Source organism: Homo sapiens, chromosome 1, assembly GCF_000001405.40.
Source record: "Homo sapiens chromosome 1, GRCh38.p14 Primary Assembly".
Lineage (NCBI taxonomy): Eukaryota > Metazoa > Chordata > Mammalia > Primates > Hominidae > Homo > Homo sapiens.
Genome location: NC_000001.11, coordinates 241,553,984 through 241,576,841, shown reverse-complemented (window position 1 = coordinate 241,576,841; position 22,858 = coordinate 241,553,984). Strand labels below are relative to the sequence as shown.

At 37.2% G+C, this 22,858-nt stretch overlaps 1 protein-coding gene across 2 annotated transcripts in view; it reads right to left on the bottom strand.

Annotated features, from left to right (window-relative positions):
- KMO (kynurenine 3-monooxygenase) overlaps positions 1–22,858 on the bottom strand; it is a 63,265-nt gene that overhangs the window by 18,801 nt on the left and 21,606 nt on the right. For both annotated transcript variants that reach the window (NM_003679.5, NM_001410944.1), the window contains exons 5-10: positions 21,182–21,230; positions 16,090–16,177; positions 14,510–14,675; positions 11,784–11,855; positions 10,230–10,351; positions 8,195–8,342 (exon numbers count right to left, since the gene is read on the bottom strand). In NM_003679.5, coding sequence (NP_003670.2) covers positions 8,195–8,342; positions 10,230–10,351; positions 11,784–11,855; positions 14,510–14,675; positions 16,090–16,177; positions 21,182–21,230 — 645 coding nt within the window. The remainder of the gene's footprint in view (positions 1–8,194; positions 8,343–10,229; positions 10,352–11,783; positions 11,856–14,509; positions 14,676–16,089; positions 16,178–21,181; positions 21,231–22,858) is intronic.

Sequence of the window (22,858 nt, the reverse complement as noted above, 5' to 3'; positions counted from 1 at the left end):
AAAAGTTTGGAAACTAATTTGAGGGAATACTTTTCTGACCCTGCTACAGATTGAGATATGCAAATACAAGAAGCTCAAAGAAGTCCTGGGAGATTCATTACAAAAAGAACATCACCAAGGTGTATGTTATCAAGCTATCTAAAGTCAACATGAAGGAAATAATTCTAAGAGCAGTGAGACAAAAGCATCAGGTAACTTATAAAGGAAAACTAATGCAGACTTCTCAGCAGAAATCTTACAAGTCAGCAAGGACTGGGGTCCTGTCTTCAGCCTCCTTAAACAGAATAACTGTCACCCAAGAATTTTATATCCAGCAAAACTTAGTTTCATAAATGAAGGAGAGATAAAGGCATTTTCAGACAAATGCTGAGGGAATTTTTTACTACCTAATGAGCCTTACAAGAAATGCTAAAAGGAGCTCTAAATCTTGAAACAAAAGGTTGATATGCACAAGTATAGAAACTCTTGAAAATGTAAAACTCACAGAGCCTACAAAACATAACACAATGAAGAAAACAAAGTATCTAGGTAACAATTAACATGATGACTGAAACAGCACCTCACATCTCAATACTAATGCTGAACGTAAATTGTCGAAATGCTCCTCTTAAAAAATATAGATTGTCAGAATGGATAAAAACATCAGAAACCAAGTGTCTGCTGTCTTCAAGAGACTCACCTAACACATAGGACTCACACAAACTCAAGGTAGAGGGGTGTAAAAAGATACTCCATGCAAATGGAAACTGAAAGCAAGCAGGGGTAGCTATTATATCAGATAAAACAGACTTTAAAACAACAGTTAAAAAAAAAAAAAGACAAAGAAGGCCATTACAAAATGATAAAAGGATTGATCCCACAAGTAGATATTACAATCCTAAACTTATAGGCACCTAACACTGGAGCTCTTAAATTTATAAAACAATTAGTACCAAATCTAAGAAATTAGGTAGAAAGCAACACAGTAATAGTGGGGACTTTAACACTCCATTGAGACAGAAGTCTCAATGATCTGTCTAGTGCTGTCAATGGAATTAACCACATTCTAGAAAATATAGATCTAACAGATATTTACAGAACATTCTATCCAAGAACTGCAGAATGTACATTCTTCTCATCAGCACATGGAACATTCTTCAAGATAAACCATATGGTAGGTCATAAAACAAGTCTCAATAAATTTTAAAACATCAAAATCATATCCAGTTATCTTCTCAGCCCACAGTGGAAAATTAAACTCAAGATTAATTCCAAAAGGAAATCTCTAAACTATACAAATACATGGAAATTAAACAATCTTCTCTTGAATGATTTTGGGGTTAACAATGAAATCAAGATGGAAATTTCAAAATCCTTTGAAATGAATGATAATAGTGACACAACATATCAAAACCTCTGGGTTACAGCAAAAACAATCCTAAAAGGAAAGTTTATAGCATTAAATGCCTACATCAAAAAGTTCAAAAACATCACAAATTGACAACATCATGTGACACCTCAAGGAACTAGAGACACAAGAACAAACTAAACCCAAAGTCAGCAGAAGAAAAGAAATAAACAAAGATCGGAGGAGAACTAAATGAATTTGAAACAAAAAATACAAAAGATCAACAAGACAAAAAGTTGATTCTTTGAAAAGACAATCAAAATCAATAGATCATTAGCTAGTTTAACCAAGAAAATATAAGAGAAGATTCAAACAAGCTCAATTAGAAATGAAACTGGAGACATTACAATGGACACCACAAAAATACAAAAGATCTTTTGAGACTACTAGGAACACCTTTTTGCATACATACTGGAAAACCTAGAGGAAATGGATAAATTTCTAGACATGTACAAAACTTCTAGATTAAATAAGGAAGAAATAGAAACCTTGAATGGACCAATAACAAGCAGTGAGATTAAATCAGTAATCGAAACAATTGTCAACAAAAAATAAAAGCCCAGGACCAGAAGGACTCACAGTTGCATTTTACCAGACATTCAAAGAATTGGTGCCAATCCTACTGAAACTATTCCAAAAGATTGAGACAGAGGGAATTCTCCCTAACTCATTCTATGAAGCCAGTATCATCCTGATACCAAAACAAGGAGAAGACATAACAAAGAAAGAAAACTACCAACAAACATCCCTGATGAACATCAGTGCAAAATCCTCAGCAACATACTAGCTAACCAAATCCAACAGCACATCAAAAAGATAATACACTATGTTCAAGTGGATTTCATCCTAGGGATACAGGAATGGTTTAACATATGTAAGTCAATAAATGTGATACATCACATAAACAGAATTAAAAAAAAAACCATATGATCATCTCTACAGTTGCAGAAAAAGCATTCTATAAAATCCAGAATCACTTTATGATGAAAACCTTCAACAAACTAGGCATAGAAGGGACTAACCTCAAAATAATAAAAGCCATATATGATGAATCCACAGCCAACATCATACTGAATGGGGAAAATCTGAAGAATTCCCCTTCAGAACTGAAACAAGGCAAGGATGCCCATTTTCATCACTTTTATTCAACATAGTTCTGGAAGTCCTAGAGAAAGTAATCAGGCAGGAGAAGGAAATGAAGGACATCCAAATTGACAAAAAGGAAGTCCAAAGATCAATGTTTGCTGATGATATGTTTGTATACTTAGAAAACCCTAAAGACTCATTCAAAAGACTCCCAGATTTTATAAATGAATTCATTAAAGACTCAGGTTATAAAATCAATGTACAAAAATCAGTAGCGTTGCTATACACTGACAACAACCAAACTGAGAATCAAATGAAGAGCTTACTCCCTTTTATCACAGCTGCAAAATAAAATAAAATACCTAGGAATATACTTAACCAAGGAGGTGAAAGATCCCTAAAAAGAGAGCTACAAAACACTGCTGAAAGAAATCATAGATGACACAAACAAATGGAAACCCATTCCAAGTTCATGGATTGGAAGATACAATATTGTTAATATGACCATACTACCCAAAAGCAATATACAGATTCAATGTAATTCCTATCAAAATACCAACATCGCTTTTCACAGAATTAGAAAAAAACAAAAACAATTCTAAGGCTCATAGGGGACAAAAAATGAGCCCAAATAGCAAAAAGAACAAATCTGGAGGCATCACATTACTGGACCTTAAATTATACTACAAGGCTATAGTTACTAAAATAGGATGGTATTGATATACAAGTAGACAGATAGACCAATGGAACAGAATAGATAACCCAGAAATAAAGCCAAGTACGTACAACCAACTGATCTTCAATAAAGCATACAAAAACATAAATTGAGGCAAGGACACCCTATTTAATAAATGGTGCTGGGAAAACTGGATAGCCACATGTAGAAGAATGAAACTGAATCCCTGTCTCTCACTTTACACAAAAATAAACTCAAGATGGATAAAAGACTTAAACCTAAGACCTGAAACCATAAAAATTCTAGAATATAACCTAGGAGAAACTCCTCTGGACATTGGCCTAGGCAAAGAATTCATGGCTAAGACTCCTAAAGCAAATGCAACTAAAACAGAAATAAATAAATGGGTTGGGCGCAGTAGCTCAGGCCTGTAATCCTAGGACTTTGGGAGGCCAAGGTGGGCAGATCCCTTGAGCACAGCAGGTCGAAACCAGCCTGGGCAACAGGGCAAAACGTCTCTACAAAAATTAGCAAAAAATACAAACTGTACAAAAATACAAACAATACCAATACCAAAAAAGACACTTGCATGTGTATATTTATTGTAGGACAATTCTCTATTGTAAAGATATGGAACCAACCTAAGTGTCCCTTGACCAATGAGTGCATAAAGAAAATGTGGTATATATACACCATGGAATACTACTCAACCGTAAAAAAGTATGAAATAATATTTTTGCAGCAACTTGGATGGAGCTGGAGCCCAATATTTTAAGTGAAATGACTCAAGAATAGAAAATCAAATACTGTATGTTCTCACTTATAAGTGGGAGCTAAATTATGAGTACAGAAACGCAGAGTAATATAATGGGCTTTGGTGACTCAGAATGGTGAACGAGAGGGGAGTGAGTGACAAAAAACTATATTGGGTACAGTGTACTCTACTCAGGTCACAGATGCACTAAAATCTCAGACTTCACCACTATATAATTTGTTAATGTAACCAAAAAACACTTGTACCCCAAAAGCTATTGAAATAAAATATATACATTAATTTAAAAAGAAAATAATCTCAATAGGAATTTTTTAAAGTTTCTTTAAAAAATAATAAAGATCAGAGCAAAAATGAACTTGAGGCTAAAATATAATACAAAAGATCAATGAAACAAAAAGTTGGTTTTTTAAAAAATAAACAAAATCAACAAACCTTTAGCTAGACACAGAAAAGGGAGAGAAGACTCAAATAAATAAAATCAGAGGTCAAAATGGAGACACTGATACCACAGAAACTCAAAGGATCATTAGAGACTATTATGAGCAACTACATGCTAATACATTTGAAAATCTAGAAGAAATGAATAAAGTCCTAGACACATACCAACTTACCAAGATTGAATCATAAAGAAATTCCACCATTAACAAGTAACAAGATAGAAGCAGTAACAAAAAGTTTCCCATCAAAGAAAAGCCCAGGACCTGATGGGTTCATTGCTGAATTCTACAAAACATTTAAAAAGGAACTAATATTGCCCGGGCGTGGTGGCTCATGCCTGTAATCTCAGCACTTTGGAAGGCTGAGGTGGGCAGATCACAAGGTCAAGTGATCGAGACCATCCTGGCCAACATGGTGAAACCACATCTCTACTAAAAATCCAAAAATAAGCTGGGCATAGTGGCACGTGCCTGTAGTCCCAGCTACTGGGGAGGCTGTGGCAGGAAAATCGCTTAAACCCGGGAGGTGGAGGTTGCAGTCGGCAGAGATTGCACCACTGCACTCCAGCCTGGCAACAGAGCGAGACTCCATCTCAAAAAAAAAAAAAAAAAAAAAGGAACTAATATAAATCCTACTCAAATTATTCCAAAACATTGAGGAGGAATACTTCCAAACTAATTCTAAGAGGCCAGCCTTACCATAATACCAAAACTAGACAAAGACGTAACAAAAAAAGGAAACTGCATGCCAATATCTCTGATAAACATAGATGCAAAGATTATCAACAAAATGCAAGCAAACCAAATTCAATAACACATTAAAAATCAGTCATTATGATTAAGCAGGATTCATCCCAGGGTAGCAAGGATGGTTCAACAAATACAAATCAATAAAAGTGATACCTCATATCAACAGAATGAAAGACAAAAACCATATGATCATTTCAATTGATGCTGAAAAAGCATTCTGTAGAATTCAACATCCCTTCATGATAAAAATTCTCAAAAAACTGGGTATAGAAGGAATATATCTCAACATGATAAAAGCTGTATATGACAACACCACAGCTAGTATCATACAAAATGAGGAAAAACTGAAAATCTTTCCTTTCCTCTAAAATATGGAACAAGACAAGAACAACCATTTTCACCATTTTTATGCAATGTAGTACTGGAAGTCCTAGCCAGAGCATTTAGACAAGAGAAAGAAATAAAGAACATCCAAATTGGAAAGGAAGAAGTCAAATTATCCTAGTTTGCAGAAAATATGACCTTATGTTTTACAAAAACCTAAAGACTCCACCAAAAACACTATTAGAACTGATAAACAAATTTAGTAAAGTTACAGGATACAAAATCAACATACAAAAATAAATAGCAATTCTATATGCCAAGAGTAAACAATCTGAAAAAGAAACCAGGAAGGTAATCTCATTTACAATAATTACAAATAAAGTAAGATATCTGGGAATTAACCAGAGAAGTGAAAGATCTCTACAATGAAAACTATAAAACGTTGATGAAAGAAATTGAAGAGGACACAAAAAAAGGAAAGATATTCCATGCTCATGGATTAGAAGGATCAATATTGTTAAAATGTCCATATTACCCAAGGCAATCTACAGACTTAATGCAATACCTATAAAAATACCAGTGTCATTCTTCACAGAAATAGAAAGAATAATCCTAAAATGTATATGAAATCACCAAAGACACAGAATAGCCAAAGCCATCCTGAGCAAAAAGAACAAAACTGGAGGCATCACATTACCTGACTTCAAATTATACTACAAAACTAAAGTAACCAAAACATCATGGTACGGGCATAGAGACAGACACATTGACCAATGGAACAGAATAGAGAACCCAGTAATATATCCACATTCAATTTTAGCATTGACTCAATTTTAGCAAAGGTGCCAAGAACATACACATTGGGGAAAAGACAGTCTCTTCAATAAATGGTGCTGGGAAAACTAGATATCCATATGCTGAAGAATGAAACTAGACCACTATCTTTCACCATATACAAAAATAAAATGAAAGTGGATTAAAGACAAATCTAAGAGTGGAAACTATGAAACTAGCAGAGGAAAACATTGAAGAAACAGTCCAAGACAGTGGTCTGGGCAAAAATTTTCTAAGTAAGACCTCAAAAACACAGGCAGCCAAAGCAAAAAACAGACACATAGACCTTTGGAACAGAATAGAGAACTCAGAAATAAATAGGACAAATGGGATCATATCAAGCTAAAAAAAAGTTTCTGCAAAGCAAAAGAAACAATTAACAAAGTGAAGAGACAACCCACAGAACAAAGTAAAATATTTGCAAACTACCCATCTGACAAGGGATTAATAATCAGAATATATAAGAAGCTCAAACTCAGTCAGAAGATAACGAATAATCCAATTTAAAAATGGATGTTTTAAAATTGATAATATCTGAGTCGGCATTTCTCAAAGAAGATAATACCTGATTATTAAAATAATAAAATAATAAAAATAATATCTGAGTAGGCATTTCTCAAAAGAAGACATACAAATGGCCAGTGGGTATATGAAAAATTGCTAAACTTCACTAATTATCAGAGAAATGCAAATCAAATATACAATGATATTATCTCACTTCAGTTATAATGGCTTTGATCTGAAAGACAAGTGATAACGAATGCTGGTGAGAATGTGGACAGAGGGGAACTCTCGTTTGGTGGGAGTATAAATTAGTACAACCACTATGGAAAACAGCATGGAGGTTCCTCAACAAACTAAAAATAAAACTGCCATATATGGCAGCAATCCCACTGCTGGGTAAATATGCAAAAAGAAAGAACATCAGTATATTGAAGAGATATCTGCACTCCCATGTTTATTGCAGCACTATTCACAATAGCAAAGATATGGAATCAACCTAAGTGTCCATCAATGGATGAATGGATAAGGAAAATGTAGTACATATTCACAATGGAATATTATTCAGCTATAAAAAAAGAATGAAATGCCATCATTTGCAACAACATGGATGGAACCAGAAGACGTTAGTGAAATAAACCAGGCACATAAAGAAAATTATCACATTCTTTTTTACTCATATGAGGGAGCTATAAAAATTAAACTTATGGAGATAGAATGATGCTCCCCAGAGACTGGGAATGGTAGTAGGGTGGAAGTGTAAAGTGGAGATAGTTAATGGATACAAAAATAGTTAGATAGAATGAATAAGATCTAGTATTTGGCATCACAATAGGGTGAATGTGGTTAACAATAATTTATTATATATTTTAAAATCACTAAAAGAGAGGAATTTGGGGTGTTTCTAATACAAAGAAATGATAAATGCTTGAGGTGACAGATACCCTAATTACCCTGATATGGTCATATACATTGTATTCCTGAATCAAAATATTGCATGTATCACATAAATATATAAAACTAGTATATATCCATAATAATTAAAAAATTTTAAAAAATTAGATGTAAAAATGGATACGGGAGATTCTCTGTAGGTTATATACAAAAACTATGCCATTTTACAACAGGGACATGAGCATCCATGGATTTTTGTATCCACAGGGGTCCTGGAGCTGATCCCTTGGTGATACCAAGGGATGAGTGCGCTATGCTTTCTGCTTTTTTCTACTATGGATTACTGGATTGATTAAACCAAATTCTGATTAGAGTGATCAATCTAGCTACACAGCTGGTATGATTGCTGAATTGATTGTGCTTTCAGGGATTATGTGGGGATAGTCTTAGACATATTTTTTACGTAAGACTTGTTAGCTGAGACTGACCCAGAAGTATTTGAGGGACTTACCTAGGGAAAAAGAACTTACCGCATTCATTCCTTGCCCAAAAAACGGCACTATAGCATGAGCTGCATCTCCCAGCAGTACACAGTGAGATTTAAAGTGAAATGAAGAGCACTTTACAGATATCATGGGCTGGGCAGGCAACAGGAAGAAATCTTGCACTAGGAGTTTCCTTCAAAGGAAAATAATCCGAATATAAAGACATCAAATTAGGTATTAAATCCTGCTAAATTCTTTCAGGTTTACTAAATTAACTATCACGAAGTTTTGTTGAAAAACAAGAATGCCAAGAAGAAAACAGAAAAGGGAAAAACTGAAGTTTTTCCAGTCCTAAAATTCCATTATTCTAATTACCTTCTTGGTCTGCAACAATGTTAATCACATTAAAAATAAAAGTTTGGCTGCATTTGAATAATTTAAGTATTTCTGTATCATATATTATTAAAACTTTGTTATCATGCACCTGGGCCATGAGATTTTCAAATGCAGCAGTGTATTTTAGGTTTCCATAAAAAATTGAGCAAATGCTACTGTGCATTTGATTAGAAGACAATAAACCAAAATTGAAATTAATGTGAATCTTTATGTATTTGGAAATAGATAACAGTAATAAAACTAGCATTTGGGGGATGGGAATAATTTGTTCAAGTGGTACAAACTTTAAGTTAGACAGGAAGAATAAATTCAAGAGATTTATTGTACAACATGGTGCTTATAATAAAAAACAAACAAAAACCCTAATATTTGTAAAGCATCTGTAGAAGAGTTGAGGAAGCTCTAAGTAGACAAATGGTACCTAGCCTCAAGAATCTTAAATCTGGCTGGAAAGGCAAAAGATAGCCATGAAACCAGTTTGAAAGTACACAAGGTCTAATTCTGGTGTGCAGAGATTTATCTTCACAGCTGGAGAAGGTGGGATCCATAGAGACTAAATTAGTCTTCAGGGAAGGAAGTGACTAGCAATTTTTAAAAGACCTGCTATGGGCCAGCAGTGGGTTATCCCTTTTACATAATTAGCTCATTTAATTTTCACAAATGCCCCATGGTAGATACCCATTTTAAAGGTGAAACTCAGGGAGGTAAGGGGAAGAAGCAGTGTGAAAATCTTGCTCTGCTATAGACTGAATGTTTATGCTCCCCTAACATTCCTATATTGGAATCCTAATCTCCAATGTGATGGTATTTGGAGATGGGGCCTTTGGGTGGTGATTAGGTCTTGGGAGTGGACCCCCCATTAGTGGGATTAGTGCTTTTATAAAAGGGACCCCAGAGAGATCCCATGCCCCTTCCAGCATGTGAAGACACAGTAAAAAGACTGTCATCTATGAACCAAGAAGTGGGGCGTCACCAGACACCGAATCTGCTAGTGCCTTGATCTTACACTTCTCAGCCTTTAGAACTGCGAGCAATACATTTCTGTCATGTATAAGCCACCGAGTCTATGGTAGTTTTATTATGGCTCACTGAACTGACTAAGGCATGCTCTCTGTAGCATTGCGCTGCCTTCATGAAGACATCATTGGAGGTGTCTAGAGAGACAACTTAATATGCGCTAAGCCTTGTGCTGAATGATTTATAGACACGATCTCATTTAGTCCTCATGACAACCCTTTGGGATAGGTTCTATTATTTATCAACCTTTTCCCACGAGTGGAATATGGGAAAGCTTACGTGTCTAGTAAGTGTAGGATCCAAGATCTGAGGCTGCCGGATGTATCTGCTGTGCCAAAGATTTGTGTATCTACCAGTAGAAAAAAGTTCAGCCAGTTCCTGTGGCACGCCAAGCCCCAAGGAGCCTGAGGAGCCTGCATAAGATGCCCAAAAGCCTCGGGACATTGGTGGCTCATCTTTCCCGGAGGAACTGGCCACGTCAAGGGTGTTTTTCAGAATTCCTGCTCACAGCACAATATCCACTTAGACTTTTGCTCTAATGTAGGTTTCTGTCCAGGTTACTGCATGATCCATCGTGTTTAACCCAAACTGAAATCAGGTGCATAACCTTTATTTGAATTTGGAATAATTAAAACAAATGGAGCAAAAGGCACATCTTGCAACTTACTCTCCAATTAGAGGGATGGCATCCGGAAAGTATTTCTGGAAGAAATCTACCACATCATTACTGGTTAGAAGTTTTTCAAACTCTTCAAAGGGCATGAACAAAGTACATGTGAATGATTTGTTCTGTGAGAAGAAGAGAAACAGAGTGAAAGGGGATGGGGGCCAAGTGACGCTGGCACTAGGTGGCTCCTGAAATCACAAGACTTCTTGCTGTGACCAGGGAGCTTTTGGAAGGAATGTCCAAGCAGACAGGAAAGGCACTGTCACTTTGTTCCCCTGCTCCCAAAGAAAAGCTCTGCAAAGTCCCAGGGGTGCTCTCCAGCTTCTTTGATTATTCGGACAATTTCTATATTGTAAACTCTCCATTTTCACACAGCAAATACTACACTCTTTTTTCTTTTTCTTTTTGAGATAGAGTCTCACTCTGTTGCCCAGGCCGGAGTGCTGTGGGGCAATCTCAGCTCACCGCAACCTCTGCCTCCCAGGTTCAAGCGATTCTCCTGCCTTAGCCTCCTGAGTAGCTGGGACTACAGGCACCCACCACCACACCCGGCTAATTTTTTGTATTTTTAGTAAAGACAGAGTTTCTCCATGTTGGGCAGGTTGGTCTGGAACTCCTGACCTCAGGTGATCCACCCACCTCGGCCTCCCAAAGTGCTGGGATTACAGGCATGAGCCACCACGCCCAGCCTACAGTCTTTAAATTACTAATAGGTTGGTTAGATTTGACATCTCTTTTTCTTCCTTTTAGGATTGTATTACTAGGCCCTGGACCCCAGGACAGATACCAACAGAAACAAAAAAGACCCCAACCAGAGAAACAGCTATATCTACCTAGGAAAAAAGTCTCTAGGGTCTAATGAAAGAAAAGCCATGCTCTCTTTTTTTTTGAAACAGGGTCTTGCTTTGTTGTCCAGGCTGGAATGCAATGGGATGATCACGGCTTACTGCAGCCTCCATCTTCGGGGCTCAAGCAATCCTCCCACCTCAGCCTCCTGAGTAGTTGGGGATGCACGTGTCACCATGCCTGGCATTTTTTTTTTTTTTTTTTTTTTAGTAGAGGCAAGGTCTTGCTATGTTGGCCACATCAGTCTTGAACTCCTGAGCTCAAGCAATCCTCCCGCTTTGGCCTCCCAAAGTGCTGGTATTACAGGTGTGAGCCGCTGCGCCCATCCCCATGCTCTCTTTTGATAATGCGTATTCCAATGTACTACAGACCTTAAAGGCTGAATCACTTCCTGATAGATAACCTAAATCTCTTTGGCTTTACTGGAAGGGCTGTTTCCTCCTAAATTGTCTTTAGTGGAGATGACAGGCACCACCACACATAAACTCTTGTTATCCATTCATGTAAGTTAAATCTCCTTTCCAAAGTAAATAATTGGAAATCCTTCAGATTTTTCCTCAGTAATCCCAAAGTTTCAAAGCTATAATCACTAAATGGATTAAACAATGAAGAGATCAATTAGGTAGATACATTCTAAGTACAAATGTAAGTAATAAACAACATTAATTACAAATGCAAAATTACAGTTGATAAAAAATTCTATACTACCATGTTAGGAAGTGCAATCATCATAAAGGTATTTCTAGGCCAAATATGCAGATAATTAGGTTCCATGGCATACTGCAGAAAAAAGAATATATGATTGATTAGTGCATTCATATAGCAAACCTATAAAACGGACTCAGCTTTATAATAGTTTCCACAGTAATTAAAACCAGTAGCATCTACACGATGATACGCACATCTATTGCTACATAAAATAGAAGTTGTCTTAGAAAACACTTTGTGTTCTGTCTTTATAAACTCAACCTTAGGTAGGTTTTTGATACCAGGTATATTTCAAGATTTCAGAATACGTGCGTGTGTGTGTATATGTAAGGAAAAAGACAGAGAGAACATCTTATGTTCTCAAATCTTGAATCATAGCTGGTATAATTATACCTGGTATATATGTACACACACATGCACATATCTAGATGTGTACATGTGTGTATATGCACACATATATAATGTATGCACATACATTATATATTTATATATATATTTTTTACTTTATCTTTTGCCTTATTTCAGAACTTATCTATACTGGACAAAAAGGTCTTACATTTAAATTTCATGAGCCAAACCAAAATTTTAGAAACAAGCTTCTTATCGTTTGTTTCCTATAACATAAATAATAGAGAAGAGTCTTATCTCTTTAGTGGGTCCTCTGTAATTACTATTAATACAATAACAGCCTGAATAAGTATTAATTGCTTGGGTAGATCAATTGACCCAAAGACCCAAGTGACGCACATTTTTGAAGGTTCCCAGGGGTATTATATACATAGAAATATGCAATCAACTTTCCAATTATTTCATATTTGTATTATTTTCTACAGATGTTTTGAGAGCACCTTCCATGTATAGCTTACAGAGTAAGAATACCAAAAAAACAGCATAGTCTTGGAGCTAACATTTTTACACTGTATCATAGTTATTTGTGTCTTAGGTGAAGGGACTGTGTCTTCCTTGTTTTTTTAGCCTCAGACTCCCAAAGAAAGCCCAACACACAGACACAGAAATGAGTACGTGCATAACTCTTGACCTTACAGTGCAGTCCAATAGGCAAGAGGAATACATATGAAAAGCAATTACTTCGCTTTAACAGTAATACTAGTGGTAGAAAGCCATTTACCCAATCTCTTGCCCCCAACTCCAACCATCAGAAGAGTGCAAGTGTCTATTTCACACATTACATGAAGAACAAAAGAAAAAAAAGACACAAAGAAAAATAGAGAAAGTCTCATAAGCTTGTTTTTGGACCATGTCAAAATGCTCCCATGTCTGAGTCACATTGCCATGCCTAAACAATGTTCTTAAAAGAGTGGAGACATTTTTTAAAACCATCAATTATTACTATTTATTATGTATACCTAGAAAATAAAGGGCTTTCTTAAATCTACTTTAGCAAGCACAGTTCTTCTTAAGTCTGGAACAATTTTTCAACAGAATTCTGTTATCCTATATCCAGAGTTATCAGATTCTGGGCCATGAGAGCAGAAGCTATCTGAAAACCAGTACAATAAGCACTAAAAAATTAGCGAATACATTTTGACCATGAGGATGAAACAGAAAGGTAATGAAATGTGAAAATATGGATTTTACTGGCTGATATTTAGTATTTAACAACACTATCCCATATTGACTAGCTGTTTTACCCTTGTCTGGATTTAAGAGGATAGATTAAATCAGCATCTTAAAAATGTATGCTTTATATGCAAATCAAGTATTTAATGTTGTTTGCATATCCATACTTATAAGCCAATATCCTTATTGTTTCTGTTAGCAATTTTTTCTTAACAAGTTCCTACACTTATTTGCTTATGACAACATGAAAACATTACATACCACTTATTTGCCTCCAGTCACATATGGTTTAACCAGGAAATGAGAAAAACACAATAGAAATCACTTTACAACAATTTTCTAGTCATTTTATTTAATAACTATTATTTGATTTAATCATGGTTATAAGAACTCTGGATTGTCAGTATACTGAAGGATTCATCATCAACCTGTTTTTTTCTCCCAAGAGAACATAGACAAACGATATTATTTAAATCCTTTATGTGTTTCCAGTAAGAGGGTTGTAACTTCTCCCTTCCCTTCCCTTCCCTTCCCGTCTCCTTCCTTCCTTCCTTCCTTCTTTCCTTCCTTCCTTCCTTCCTTCCTTCCTTCCTTCCTTCCTTCCTTCCTTCCTTCTTTCCTTCCTTCCTTCCTTCTTTCAAGACAGGATTGGGCTATGTTGCTCAGGATAGAGTGCATTGGCATGATCTCGGCTCACTGCAGCCTTGACCTCCTGGGCTCAAGCAATCCTTCCACCTCAGCCTCACGAGTAGCTGGGACCACAGGCGTGTGCCACATCCCTGGCTAATTTTTGTATTTTTTACAGAGACAGAGTCTCCCTATGTGGCCCAGGTTGGTCTTGATATCTTGGGTTCAAGCGATCCTCCTGCCTTGGCCTCCCAAATTGCTGGGATTACAGGCATGAGCCACTGTGCCCAGACTGCTCCTTTCTTTTTCACTCCAGAAAGCATATCAAACAAGGAAGGACTGAGAATCGTGCTGTTAAAAAGATACCCATGCATCCCATTTATTCTTCATTACAAAGTTCTTGTGATAGGCCTCAAAATGGATCAAGACATGCTGCTGAGAACCACTGCACTAGAATACGCATTCGCGCTCATGGAGCAAGGGTTGTGGGAAGGGGTTGAAAAAGGGCAAGGACTTACATCTCCGTTCTTAGGTGGAATAGTCAACTCCATGTACCCATGAGGAATGTACTGCTGACTGTAATCAAAGCGAGGTTTCTTCATCAGGTGAGATCTGACAGTTGAATAGGCTCCATCACATCCTACAATGAGGTCACAAGTGACATCTTTGGGAACTTTGTCAGATCTGAAAAATAGAACAAAACATCCAAAAGAAAAATATGTCTAGTGGTGAAAATGATGATGTACCTCTGGGTATGAGAAGTAGTGGCTCCATAGATAACTTAGAAAGCTCACTTTCACATGTTTGACTTGGAGCTTTGAGTTAATAGATGTAACATTTAGATGAAAACACTTGTCCCAGTCATAAGTTTGCTTATGAGAATAGCACAACACCATATTGATTAATAAAGACTTGGTAGGCCACAGAAGTGTGACAGGATTTGAGATTTCTGCATGAAGGAGGAGAATCTTGAAAACAGGGCAAGTGTTCCAAGTGTACGAATGAATGTATGAACAACCACAGGATTTTCTAAGAACAATACATTTGTCTTGAGCACAGGTATTAGAAGAAAAGCTTAAGAAAAGAATACAAGGTAGGGAGAGAAAGGAAGGGGAAAAGAAGAGAATCTTGAATGTCAAGATAAAAGATTTTAAAACATTATTCTGGCAAAAGGGAAACTGAAATTATCTATTAGGGGAATGATGTATGAAGAGTTGCAATTTAAGAAAACTTCCTTGGCAGTTTGAAGAGAAGGCCGAATGCCAAAGGGAGCAGAAAACAGGGATGAGGTGATGGCAACACATTATATTACATGTGCAGGAATGAGAGCCGGAAGTACTGTCCTGCAGCTAGAAGGAGGAAGACAGACTCTGAAGCCAGTAGAAAGTAGGATAGACTGGGGAGTGTTATAGATTTAATGGGAGAGGACAGGGGAAAGAACACATCATGAATGATTCAAATTATTCAGGCATTAGTTCTGGGGAAGTCAGGAATGGGATGTGATTTGGGAGAAGTAGGTGATCAAGGTTTTAGATATGTTTGAGATAATGGCAAGATGTTCCAGCAAGGATGTTTGATGAGAAGTTAACATAAATTGATTTGAGCTTCTATAAGGATTTAGAATGAAGAAAGAGGCTTGGACTGGAAATGTTCATCTTAGAGATGTGGTTGTTGAACCCATGAGCGTGGATCCATAGCATATCGCAAGAGTGGGATATGAGGCTTGGAACCTTAGAGGAAATAGAATCATCCAAGGAAAGGCAGAGAAATAGCACCTGGAAAGAGAACAGGAGGAGAGCAGTGGAGGGTCACGTATATTTGAGAGAGGAGAGAGTTTGAAGCACATTAGAGTCACCAGTGTGGAATACAGTACAGTAGGAAGGTGAGCAAGTGTGAGAATTAAGAATTATTGGCATTGGTGTTCAGATGGCCATCAGGGCCTATTTGCAATCTAAAATTCCTTGAATCTAGAAACTATTTGGATGATCCTTTCAATAATCTTTTAACTCTTTCAAAAGAGCCAAAGAACAAAGTTTGCAGATACAATTCTCCACTCCCAGCTTTCACCTCTGAAGTCCAAAACCTGACCCGTAGTTACCCAAGCACTGTGATCATTCCTTCCTCTGGATTACATTTCAACAGCCTGTGGTTAAAGTGCATTTTCACATTGGGGTATTTCTCAGCAGCTGAGGAAATGGAGAAAGAGGCAAACAGAAATGAAATCTCAATTCTTACTTCACTTAATCAAATTGAAATAGTAATTGTTTTCTGGGAACAGTATGGTAGAGAATTTTATTCATAACAATGTAAAAATAAGTTCACTTAAATGGTAATTTGACAACTGTTTGGTAACTATTTCAGTATAATTTGGTAGTAAAACAGATGAATAAAAATCAATTATCCTCATCTCAAAAAGAAAACATCCAACTGATTCCATTGTGCAAACTCTTGCATTGCTGTAATTATTAGCACCCTGGGAAAGAAGCAAGCATCACATATTTCAGAAGTCGCCTCTAATCCGAGGCTTTGTTGTGACTGGAAATATTCAGTCAAACTCCTTTCCTCATATTACGCATGTCTCTATATCTCTTTTTAGCTAGTTTTCTGGAATTCTGATTGAAGTTGTCACAAATAGAGATTGTTGATTTTAAATCTCTTTGAAATCAAACACTGGAATAGTTAGGGGGAAAATGAGTAAGAAGCTTTGAAACCTCTCAATAAACTGAAACAAATTATTTTCGTAATTTTCTGTTTTGCCTGCTAGCACTCTAGAGAATTGAGTGAATTTCAATTTATGAACTATTAATTATGCCCTTGTTACAACAGTAAAATGTGATTTTGTCCCTATTAATGCTCATGTATTCATCTATAAATATAGCCTATTTATTGTTCTTAAAGGTATAAATCAGAATACAGGTGTTAGAGCTGGAATAGACTTCAGAGATGATTTAGTTCAAAATCCTTCATCTTAAAAAAGGAGTAACTAAGATTCTGGAAGTAAAGGTAAAATGCCTGAGATCACACAAAGTGAAAAAATTAAGGACCAAACTCATCAAGTTGTACACATTAATTATGTACAGTTTTTATATGTCAAAAACGTAAATAAAAAGAATGTTGAATTTGAAAAAAATGGGGAAAATAAGGCAGGAGTTCTATTCCTGCCTGTACTTATCTCCTCTCTTCATCTCAATCTTGTCTTATTTTACTCTTTTTTGTTTCAGTTTGATTTGGGGTTTGAAGATTTTAACTTTCTTGCAAAATCTGAGAGACCCTAAACCAAAGAAATTCATCTATGTAGAAGAAGTAGTTTGGCAAATAACTTTGAAGTAATCAGAATTGACCTGATATACTAAGGATATATTTTAGAAACATAACATGTGTTTGTGAAAAAAACTTTTAAAAAATTATGTTTATTTTTTACATAAGTATATAGTATTTTGCATCCTAAATAATTTTTTGTAGAACGTTACTCCTGGGATATACTCCCTAAAAAAACTGTTCCATTGCCAAAGACTAGAGTAATGCTGAATACTCTGTCTTGGGCTATGCTGCCCTGGTGTCCAGCCACAGGTAGTGTTTGAGTACTTGGAGTGTGGCTATCCTAAATTGAGATGTGTTGCCTGTATGGGATTTTGGCAAATTAGAACAAGTATATATAAAAAGAATGACAGTGAATAACTTTCTGATATTGATTACATATTGAAATAATATTTTGGATATATTAGGTTAAAATATCTTTTTTTTTTTTTTGAGACAGAGTTTCACTCTTGTCGCCCAGGATGGAGTGCAATGGCATGATCTCAGCTCACTGCAGCCTCCGCCTCCAGGATTCCAGAGATTCTCCTGAGTAACTGGGATTACAGGCGCCCACCAACACGCCCAGCTAATTTTTATATTTTTAGTAGAGATAGGGTTTCACCATGTTCACCAGGCTGGTCTCCAACTCCTGGCCTCAGGTGATCCACCCCCTTCGGCCTCCCAAAGTGCTGGGATTACAGGTGTGAGCCACTGCGCCTGGCCTAGGTTAAAATATCTTATTAAACATAACACCACCTGCTGCTTTTTTTTTTTTTTAACATGGTTAGCATAAATTGGAAAAGTATACACGTGCCTGGTATTTGTGGCCACATGTTGGACTGTGCTGCTCTGGAAGATCCACAATGCAGACCAAGAATATAATAAAAGCCCTGAGAAGTACTATAAGAAAAAAGACTGAAAACTTGTTTGATGCAAGGTTTGTCAGACTTATTTGGCCACACATCCTTTGTCTGTTTGCTTTGGCTTAATAATTATTAACATCTCACAGAATAGCAGATGAACCGTGAAACAATCCCGCATGAAATGCCGACGTAGGGAAATCATGTAGCAACAATGTTTTCAGAGAGGAGTTTGTGCAGTTAGGGAGAAATGAGAATTTACAATTGATTAAATGTGTGGAATGAAAACCTCCCACATTTGATGCCTCGTAAAGAAAGAATGAACTTTATATGCCCAACAAAGTTTAAGAGTGAAGAGATTCAGCGTTCATTTTATTGATGTATTTATGGCATTTATGAAATTGTGTGCCATGCAGCACATTCCTAGTGAAAGACAATTTGGGGAACTTCTGGTGTGTACACCAAGATTGTACCTTTCCCATGTTTTAAGTTCCTTAGTATTAGCAGATGTTTTATATATAATATTGGAGGCAGAAGTCATAATAATTAAAAGCATGGGCTTTGGAATAAACAGACTCAGATTTAAATCCAGATTCTACCACTTACTAACAGTGTGATCCAAGCTCTCTAAGCCTCCATTTCACCATCTATAAAACGGAAATAAAAGTAATTTCCCCCTCATAGAGTTGTTGAAAGGGTTATGCAAATCTATGCATGTAAAACACTTAAGATACAGCTTGGTGCTTCGATGAATGTTTGCTATTAGTTTTATCTTGATAGATTGAGAGGATTTTTGAAAGACAGTGTCATAGGTCTGCTGTACTGCTTTTTGTAAAAGCTGTTTTGTGGAGTTTTCTTGTTGTTGTTTTGTTTTGATTTTTTAGAGTTGATGTCTTGCTCTGTGGACCAGGGCTGGAATGCAGTGATGCAATTATACTCCTGGGCTCGAGCCATCCTCCCTCCTCAGCCTACCAAGGTGCTGGGATTACAGATGTGAGCCACCGCACCCGGCTGGTTCATTTGCTTTCTTGAGATCAACCTGAATATACCTAGCAAACTGGCTCCACTCCACCCATCTATCCATCCAAAAGGCAGTCTGACAAATATAACTAAGGAAATACAATTAATAATAATACTAAACCCTCTTTCTTGTATCTGGTGAATCAACTAAAGTGAAATTCCTCATAGGCCTCCTCCTCCCAGTTGAATCCCATTACGTTCAATTACATTCAGTAGATATATTGAGGAGATTGTGGAGAAACAAAGATAAATCATGTACAGTCTCTGTTTAAAAATCAGAGTCTACTGGGCTCCATCACGAGGGACTAGTTTAAAAGATAGTAGAAATATTAAGTGGCATGCTTTGCTGGGAATAAATCCGTTGAATGCAAATGCTGAAGGGAGGAAAAGCAACTACAGTGTAGGCTTAGACTTAGTAAGGGATACATGGTGTGTGACTGGATCAACTACGCAAACCACAAATTTAATTTGTAATCCAGTGGCTTTTCCATGAACACGTAGGCTTTTTTTAGTTACACAAATTCACAACTTCAGGGTTCTATTTACACCTTTCTCTTTCTCAACTTTCTATATCCCCTATCTCTCGATTTGTTCTCTTACAAATATCATGAATCTACACTCTACTCTCCAGCCACATTACTATAGCTTTATTCTTGGGCCCTTCTGTGCCCAGAGATTATGGAAATGCCTTGAAGATTGCAACCCTTTCTCAGTCTTCACACTATGGCTTTTCATCTCTCTAAAAGACAAATCTTTATTATTATTATTATTATTATTATTTTATTGGGACTGAGTCTCGCTCTGTCAGCCAGGCTGGAGGGCAGTGGCATGATCTCGGCTCACTGCAACCTCCGCCTCCTGGGTTCAAGCAATTCTCCTGCCTCAGCCTCCCGAGTAGCTGGGATTACCGGCATGTGCCACCACGCTCAGCTAATTTTTTTTTTCTTTTTGTATTTTTAGTAGATACAGGGTTTCACCATATTGGCCAGGCTGGTCTCAAACTCCTGACCTTGTGATCCGCCTGCCTCGGCCTCCCAATGTGCTGGGATTACAGGCGTGAGCCACCACGCCTGGCCCAAAAGGCAAATCTAATTGTGTCACTTTGCAAATTGTTTGAGTTTATCTGTCGTTCCATTAGAGTGTGAGTTCTTCATCAGCGTGAACACTCATTCACTCAGTGCCTAGGAGACCATAGGGATTCAGTATATGTTGAACAAATGATTTCAATTCAGAGAATTGTCAGTGAAGTGGGTGCTAGCACCTGTAATCCCAGCTACTCTGGAGTCTGAGGTGGGAGAATCACTTGAGCCAGGAGTTCAAGACCAACCTGGACAACATAGAAAGACTCTGCCTTTAAAAAAAATGTAAAAAAATTGGTCGTATGTGGTAGCATGTGCCTGTAGTCCCAGCTTCTCGGGTGGCCAAGGTGGGAAGATAGCTTGAGCACAGGATTTCGAAGTTACAGTGAGCCATGATTGCACCATGGCACATCAGTCTGGGTGACAGCAAGACTTCGTCTCTAAAAACTTTAGGCAATTGATATTTTCAAGAAGGACTTCATTTATTTATTTCTTTTTTTGAGACAGGGTCTCACTCTGTTGCCCAGGCTGGGAGTGCAGTGGCACAATCACATCACTCATATCTCACTGTAGCCTCGACCTCCCTGGCTCAAGTGATCCTTCCACCTCAGGCTCTTGAGTAGCTGGGACTATAGGTACACGCTTCTACACCCAGCTAATTTTTTATTCTTTGTAGTGATAGCGTCTCTCCATGTTGCCCAGGCGGGTCTCAAATTCCTGGACTCAAGCGATCCTGGCCTCAGCCTTTCAGAGTGCTGGGATTACAGGCATGAGCTATCAGACCTAGCTTCAAGAAGGACTTTGTAGTGTACATAGTCTTGCTCTTCATAACCCATAAAAAGGAGCAGCAAACAAATCCAATAAATCATATGACAAGATTAGTGTCATGTGCTTTACTCAAAATGACAACTGATGAATCAAACATTAGACTTACCAGTCAATAGATCCTTGTTTAGATTTTCTCTGCTTACAGAAAGAATATACTGCAAGAAAAGTAGAGTAGATACTGTTTGTTTCTGGTGAATGGACAAATATAATTCTAAGTTATTCACTCAGCAATAAAACATATTTATTATTTAGCAGAGGGTTGCAAGCTTAGTTTTATAACCATTTCGCTAAGTGACCTTTGATTTTTTTGTTAAAAAAGATCACTTTAAACAAACACATATAATACAATATCCAAGTTTACACTTAGGCTTTTTCAAAGTTTAATACTTTAAAAATCAAATCCTTCTCTTGTAGCTAAAATATAATTTTCATCAAGAGAGTTCTGTTTTAAAAACAAATCATAAATGTAATATTTTCAGCTTAGGTCTCCAAATTTAGCTCTTAGAAAAACTTCAGTCATGACAGTATCACTAGAATCAAAGTGCTATTTCCTGAAGAGACAACTTTGAAGGATTTCATTTCAATGTAAAAAGTGTGTGTGTGTGCACGCGTGTGTGTGTGTGTTGGTTGTGGCAGGGATGAAGATTGATAGGAATAGGACCAGTCCTTGCATGGAACATGTGTTGGTTGTTTCTGACTTTATAGGACAATTCAGCAAAGCTGACCCTCCCTTGAGGCAAGGTAGACACAGCGCCTATGGGCGTACAATACTTTTTTTTTTTTTTGAAACAGAGTCTTGCTCTGTTGCCCAGGTTGGAGTGCAATGGTGAGATCTCAGCTCACTGCAACCTCCACCTTCCAGGTTCAAGTGATTCTCCTGCCTCAGCTTCCCAACTAGCTGGGATTACAGGTGCCTGCCACCACACTCAGCTAATTTTTTTTTTTTTTTTGTATTTTTAGTAGAAATGGGGTTTTGCCATGTTGGCCAGCCTGGTCTCGAACTTCTAACCTCAGGTGATCCACCGACCTTGGCCACCCAAAGTGCTGGGATTACAGGGATGAGCCACAGCGCCCGGCCACTTTTTTCCTCCTGACTTAAAAATAAACTAAAATCAAAACATTTTTATGGACTCTTAAACGTATTGTAAAAATGTTTTGATTTTAGTTTATTTTTAAATCAGGAGGAAAAAAGTGGCCAGGCATGGTGGCTTATCCCTGTAATCCCAGCACTTTGTGAGGCTGAGGCAAGCTGATCACTTGAGGTCAGGAGTTTAAGACCAGCCTGGCCAACATGGCGAAACCCCGTCTCTACTAAAAATACAAAAACAAGCCGGGTCTGGTGGCGCGTGCCTGTAGTCACAGGAAGCTGAGGCAGGACTGCTTGAACCCGAGAGGCCTAAGTTGCAGTGAGCCGAGATCACATTACTGCACTTCAGCCTGGATGACAGAGTGAGTGAGACTCTGTCTAGAAAGAAAGAAGGGAGGAAGGAAGGAAGGAAGGAAGGAAGGAAGGAAGGAAGGAAGGAAGGAAGGAAGGAAAGAAAAGTATTATGTAATAAAAAATATGTAATAATAAATCTGGCCTGGATTTTATTAATCTTTATACCAATGAACCCATAAAATCTAATTTTTAATATTTATCCTTTTTCTAGAAAAGGAGCCCATGGAGGCCAAAGTGCCCACCTGGGGCCCATTAAAGTCATAATGCAAGCTGGTAATTCAGGGTGAATCTATTCTTTAAAACTTTAAAGCATATAATTTTCCAAATTATGGGACATAACAA